This window comes from Homo sapiens, chromosome 16 (genome assembly GCF_000001405.40).
Source record: "Homo sapiens chromosome 16, GRCh38.p14 Primary Assembly".
In the NCBI taxonomy this organism is placed as follows: Eukaryota; Metazoa; Chordata; class Mammalia; order Primates; family Hominidae; genus Homo; species Homo sapiens.
Window position 1 is genome coordinate 1,327,070 of NC_000016.10, and position 6,465 is coordinate 1,333,534.

A 6,465-nucleotide genomic window follows, 5' to 3' on the forward strand; every position below is an offset into this window, starting at 1 on the left:
TTTGGGGGTGGGAGCCCACTGGGGCCACAGGGCGTCCCCCGACCCCAAGGCCCAGCCCTACCCCCCAGGGCTTTGTTCTGGTCCTGCTTCCAGCCCCACGTCAGCCCCTCCGGGTGACATCCCCTCTAGCCAGCCTCGGGGTCTCTTCACCTGCACCTCCCTGGCCTGCTCTACGGGTCTCCTCCCTGGGACTCAAGGCTGCTCTTGCTGTCCCTGGCAGGGGACCTCCTTGGGGAGCAGGGACCCCAGGTGTCCAGAGAGCTCTCCTCACAGGGCCCATCCAGGGCTGGCTGGAGCCACCAGGTAGGAGTCTGGTGCACAGGTGCAGGGACCCCAGCCCCCTGCGGGACGGGCTAGCCAGGCCTGAGCTGGCGCCGGGGGAGACCTCCCTTGGCTTTGGCAGTCGGGCTAGCCACAGGTGCCCTCCGTCTCTCAGGTCCCTTGGGACCTGGGTCTGGCTGGGCCGGAGGAGGCTAGGAGACTTGGCCACCATGCTGGCCGCTGCCCGCAGGAATGCAGGCTCCTGGCCAGGCTGCTGGTCCCCAGGTCGCCTCACCTTCCTGGACCTGAGGCCTGGCCCCGCCATCACTCACTGGGATCCGCTGATGGGAAGCCTTCCTCATGATTACCATGACGACAAGTTGCCAGGTTGGAGGGCCTTGCACTGATTCGGACTGGCTGGAGCTGGTTTGAGCCAGCTCCAGCAGGGAGGGGCCTGGGAGTGCTGGGTTTGGGATCCATCCCCAGCCGACCCTGATTCTGGGTCTGGGAGTGTCCTGAAGCACCTGCTCAGGAGACACAGCCTGAGATCCCCAGGCACCACCTGGTCTGAGGAAGCCATTGGGCCCAGTTGGGGTGGGGGCTCCTGGCTTTGGCCCATTGGGTGGGAAGGGGCTGGGGCAACTGGTCCCATCCACCCTGCCTGTCTCTGGCCCAGCCTGGTCCAAAGGCTTCTGCACCTGCCAGGAGATCGGCTTATCCGGCTCTTAGGAAGAAATAGGAACAGGCACAAGAAAACCACCGAGCACGTGTGGCTTGGGCTCTTCCTTCCCTGGGCCTCTGCCCTTCCTCCAGGATGCCCTCCGCCGAATAAGGCAAGTTCCCACTCCTCGATGCGGGCTGTGCCTTATTTATTTATTTAGAGATGGAGTCTCACTCTCTCGCCCAGGCTGGAGAGCAGTGGCATGATCTCGGCTCACTGCAACCTCCGCCTCCCGGGTTCAAGCAGTTCTCCTGCCTCGGCCTCCCGAGCCTGGGCTGTGCGTTTAAGGAGGGACTCTGAGGCCGGGCGCGGTGGCTCACGCCTGTAATCTCAGCACTTTGGGAGGCCGAGTTGGGAGGATCACCTGAGGTCAGGAGTTCAAGACCAGCCTGGCCGACATGGCAAATGCCCATCTCCATTAAAGATACAAAAATTAGGCCGGGCGCGGTGGCTCATGCCTGTAATCCTAGCACCTTGGGAGGCTGATGCGGATGGATCACAAGGTCAGGAGTTCAAGACCAGCCTGACCAATATAGTGAAACCCTGTCTCTACTAAAAATACAAAAATTAGCCCTTTGAGGAAGACGTGGTGGTAGGTGCTGTGAATCGCTGATCCGCACGCTCCTGCTCCTGACTCACCACTGTCCGCTCTCGCCAAGGAACAAGCTGGTCAGGAAGCCACGCAGCAGCTATGGCTTTATTATTATTTTTTAAAAATTTATTTATTTTTTGAGACGAAGTCTAACACTGTCGCCCGGGCTGGTGTGTGGTGGGGCGATCTCGGCTCGCTGCGGCCTCCACCTCCCGGGTTCAAGCGATTCTTCTGCCTCAGCCTCCCGAGTGCCTGGGACTACAGGCACACGCCACCACACCTGGCTAATTTTTGTATTTTTAGTGGAGACGAGGTTTCACTATGTTGGCCAGGCTGGTCTCGAACTCCTGACCTCGTGATTCGCCCACCTCGGCCTCCTAAAGTGCTGGGATTACAGGTGTGAGCCACCACGCCCGGCCTAAAAAATTCTTTTGGCTTTTAAGGATACCAGAAAAACACCCAAGGAGCCGGAGATGGCAATTCACCAAAATTCACCAAATTCACCAAAATTCACCAAATTCGCCAAATTCACCAAATTCACCAAAATTCACCAAATCTGAATCACTCTAACGAGCTACAGCATAAAATCACTTGAAAAGGTGTGTGCTGACTTGATCAGAGGCACAAAGGAAAAGAATCTCAAAGTGAAAGGACCGGTTTGAATCCTACCAACACTTTGAGAATCACTACAAGAAAAACTCCAGATGAGGCCAGGTTACAGCTCACGCCGGTAATCCCAGCACTTTGGGAGGCCGAGGCGGGCAGATCACGAGGTCAGGAGATTGAGACCATCCTGGCTAACAGTGAAACCCCATCTCGACTAAAAATACAAACAAATTAGCTGGGCATGGTGGCAGGTGCCTGTAGTCCCAGCTACTTGGGAGGCTGAAGCAGGAGAATGGCGTGAACCTGGGAGGCAGAGCTTGCAGTGAGCCAATACCGCGCCACTGCAGTCCAGTCTGGGCGACGGAGCAAGACTCCATCTCAAAAAAAAACTTATAAAAAAAAAAACTCCAGATGAGCATCCATAAGCAACTCATTGACTTGCACAGTCCTTCTGAGATTGTTAAGCAGATTACTTCCATCAGTATTGAGCCAGGAGTTGAAGTGGAAGTCACCATTGCAGATGCTTAAGTCAACTATTTTAATAAATTGATTACCAGTTGAAAAAAAAAAACAAAAAAATACAAAAATCAGCTGGGCATGGTGGCGGGCGCCTGTAGTCCCAGCTACTCGGGAGGCTGAGGCAGGAGAATCACTTGAACCCAGGAGGCAGAGGTTACAGCCGAAATCACACCACTGCTCTCCAGCCTGGGCAACAGGGCAAGACTCCATCTCAAAAAAAAAAAAGAAAAGGAGGGACTCTGAAGCCCCCAGAGCTGGGAGGAGTCGCCTCCCAACCCCAGCTCTGCACAGAAGGATGCACACTGAGGGCCTGGCCTCTCCCTGCTGGGCCCCTAACCACAGTGAGCACAGAAGCCCATCTCGCTGGGAAGGGGCCTCTGACACCCCCACCCTCAGGCTGGTGGGAGGCGGGGCCAGGGGACAGGGTGCCATCCTCCCTGCCATCCAAGCCTCACCGCAGCAGGGGCTGTCCTGCCTGCAGGGCTCTGGCACACCAATGGCCTTTGTTTGGGGGCTTGGTAGGACCCTGTCTTGGGCCCACTTCTTTGTCCCTGCCCTGCCCTGGACCCCTCACAGATGCTGCTACTAGCACGGAGGCCTGAGAGAACTCCAGCGTGACACTGGGTGGTCACCTCCAGCCGGCCCCACCTGTGCACGCGTGGCAGCAGGACTCCCGGAGCTTCTGGTGTGGGATCTGGAGACCAGCATCTCAGGCATGAGGCCAGACTTGGGCTGAGGCCCTCCCACCCAGAGCCCCTCTCTTGATGGGGCAAGGAACAGGTTCTGGCAGTCTTCAGGGTCCTCCAGCTCCGGGGCAGGCAGGGTCCCTGGCCAGAGTCCCTGGGCTCTGACCCCACGAGCTCTCCAAGGACCCTGCCCTTCCTTGCTTGGGTCCTCAGAGGGAAGTTGGGGGCAGATTCTGGGAGGCTGTGCCTGCAATTTCTAGGGCTGCCACCAGAGGGTGGTAGCACTGGGCCCTGCGCTGTGCTCATGAGCGTGGAACAGGAGGGGCTGTCTAACTCTGCCATGGCCTCACCTGTGTGCTTCAGCGGCTTTGGCGCCTGCGTATCCAGAGCCTGGTGTTTTTACCTGCCCCCCCATCTCCGCCCCCCGCCACCGGCCCGGCCCTAAGGAGGAAAAGCTACTCTCCCTGCCTGCCAGACCCTTTCCAGCACAAAGTCCTGAGAATGTGAAAAGAGCCAGGCTTGAAAAATGGCTTTTCTCAGCTTTGCACAAGCAGCCCTGGTGCCCCAGCAGCCTCCTCAAGCTCTGACCCCGTCTGGGCAGGGGGTCTCGTGTCCCGACACATCGGTGGGAGGTGTTCCTGCACCTGCGCCATCCCCTCACTGTCCCCGGAGCACGGCAGCTGTCTGCACTCCGGTCCGAAGGCAGAGACGCCAGGGTAGCCCCTTCAGAGTGAGGCCTGGGGCTCAGGGTGGGGAGGGTGGGCGGCCCACTCTCCTGCCCTCTCTCTTAGTGGGAGGGGACTCACGCGAGGATGGGCTTCCAGCCCCAAGCTATGGAAAGGTAAATTGGGTCACTGGAGGGGCCGGAGTTCTGGCTGGGTGGCTGCAGTTCCCATCCCCACCAACTGGGACTGAGGCTGACCTGCTGTGAGTTGAGACTGGCTCACTGAGGTCCCCCAGCTGCACCCAAGGTGGGTGCTGCTGTTGTCCCCATTTTACAGAAGAGGGAAACTGAGGCCCGGGCAGTGGAGGGTCGCCCTGGGGCAGGGGTGAGCAGGGTGCTGGGACTTTGATCCAGGTCAGCCTGTCTTCAGCCTCAGAACAAGTTGGAGAATGAAGGCCTTGGTCACTGAGTGGGGTGTCGCTCGGATCGTTCATTCCTCGACTCCTCACCAAATGTTTGTGGAGGGGACAGTCCTAGTGACCGTCCTCTCCTGGGGAAACGGAGGCCCAGGGCTGGTTTGGGACTCAACCTATCACTATGTGGCCCTGGAAAAGCCCTTTCCCGTCTCCGGACTCCAGTCTCCCTACCTAGAAAAGAGTGGGGAGAGGTCTCCAAGGGTGCTCCCGCACCCAACGGACTGCAGTGTTGGTTTCAGGGTTGGTGCTCTCGTAGGGGCCGGAGCAGCGGCTGCCCCTCCCAACTTCCTGTTTACCGTAGCTGCAGAGCCTGTCCCTTCACTTAAAGCCAGTGTGATCACCATGGCAACCGGCCTGTGTTTGTTCCAACAGGTGGGCAGAACCTGGTGCAAGACCGCAGAGGCAGGGGCGTCACTCCCAGACCCGGTCTCCAGACCCACCAGCCCCTCAGGAGAACACTGCTACAGAGTGGGGCTGAGGGCCCAGGCCCCCTCCCCTGCTTCCCCCACCGCGTCCCTGTCCCAGCCAGTCCCTGCATTTCCTGCAAGCTCCCTGCCCTCCCCCACCGGCCTGGCTGTGCTGGGTCAGGATCCGGCAGAGCCTGGGCCGAGCGTCCCGAAGGAGAGCCCACCCAGGGGTCCTGCCCCCGATCCTGCACAGACAGGTGTGGGGCGGGCATGGATTTGAGTGAGTTGGGATCCAGAAGCCAAGACAGTTGTTGGCAGACGGGCCCCCTCCCTTTGAAGAGCTGTGTTCTGGAAGCCTGTCTGGCCTTGGGCTGCCCAGGTGCCCTTCGGGTGAAAACTCCAAAGTCTGACCACCCCCCACCCCTTGTCCCCAAAGGGCTGCGAGTGTCCAGCTGTATTCGACCAAGGGCAGGTGCGACCGGGGGGCCGCTGCGCCCTCGGCAAGTCTGAGAGCCTCAGGCCCCCGACAGGACCATGCTTAGCACGGACTTCTCAAAGTGTGGTCCCTGGACTGGCGGCAGCAGACTGGAGCTGGGAAGTGCAGGCGCTGGCTGGCGTGGGGACCACACCTGTGATCTCAGCGCCTTAGGAGGCCGGGGAAGGGGGATCCCTTGAGCCTGGGAGTTTGAGACCAGCCTGGGCAACATAGGGAGACCCCCATCTCCACAAAAGAAACCAAAAAACATTAGCCGGCGGGTGGTCCCAGCTACTGGGGAGGCTGAAGCGGGAGGACCACTTGAGCCGGAGAGTTCGAGGTTGCAGCGAGTGGAGATGGTGCCACTGCGCTCCAACCTGGTTGAGAGCTATTTTTGAGAGCTTTTTCGAGACTCTGTCTGAAAAAAAAAGGGAAAAAACGCAGATCGCGCCCCCACCCAGACTTCGGGACCAGCGGGTTGGGGACAGGACCCATCAATGCCTTAACAAACCCTGCAGGAGACCGCGGGCCCGCTGGGGTTCCAGGACAGCGCAGCGGAGGAAGAGCGGGGAGCCACCCGGGAGGGGCTGGCGGGGTCCAGTGCAGACCCCAGGGGCTCCGGGGGCTCTGGCCGGCTGTGACCCCACAAGCGCCAACTGGGCCCTCACCAGAGCCCCAGGGACGATCGCCCCACAGACCGTCCGCGTGGGCGTGGGGCGTCCCGAGTGGATCCCTGCAGGACGCATCCCCGCCCCGAGAAGAGAGCGGCGGGGCCCGCGAGGTGTCCCTGAGTCAGGCCCTTCCAGAAAGGTCTGCACCGCTGCTGGTCTTCGTGACCGTGGCTTCCCTGGGGTCCGCGGAGGAGACCCCGCCGACCACCCCCTTCTAGACCCCACGCGCCACGGGGAGGGCGCGCGCGGCCAGGCGGGGTCCCGAGGCAGCCAAGCCCGCTCCCCGTCCCGCAGCCACCTGTGGGTTGACTCACAGCCCCGCATCCCGGGGGAGGGGGCTCCGGCCCGGCTCAAGGCACGGAGACCCCGGCCGGGTCCCCTAAGGCG

At 60.5% G+C, this 6,465-nt stretch overlaps 1 pseudogene, besides 2 other annotated features; it reads left to right on the forward strand.

Annotated features, from left to right (window-relative positions):
* On the forward strand, positions 1,557-2,740 carry RPS20P2 (ribosomal protein S20 pseudogene 2; annotated as a pseudogene).
* Positions 4,704-4,753: an enhancer, noted in NCBI's record as "active region_10221". NCBI's record gives its function as "activates an Ori minimal core promoter by ATAC-STARR-seq in GM12878 lymphoblastoid cells {active_cell/tissue: GM12878}" and the evidence as "EXISTENCE:reporter gene assay evidence [ECO:0000049][PMID:35858748]".
* Positions 5,530-5,730: a silencer, noted in NCBI's record as "fragment chr16:1382600-1382800 (GRCh37/hg19 assembly coordinates)". NCBI's record gives its function as "represses an EF-1alpha promoter that drives an FKBP-Casp9 reporter gene in an ReSE screen in K562 erythroleukemia cells {active_cell/tissue: K562}" and the evidence as "EXISTENCE:reporter gene assay evidence [ECO:0000049][PMID:32094911]".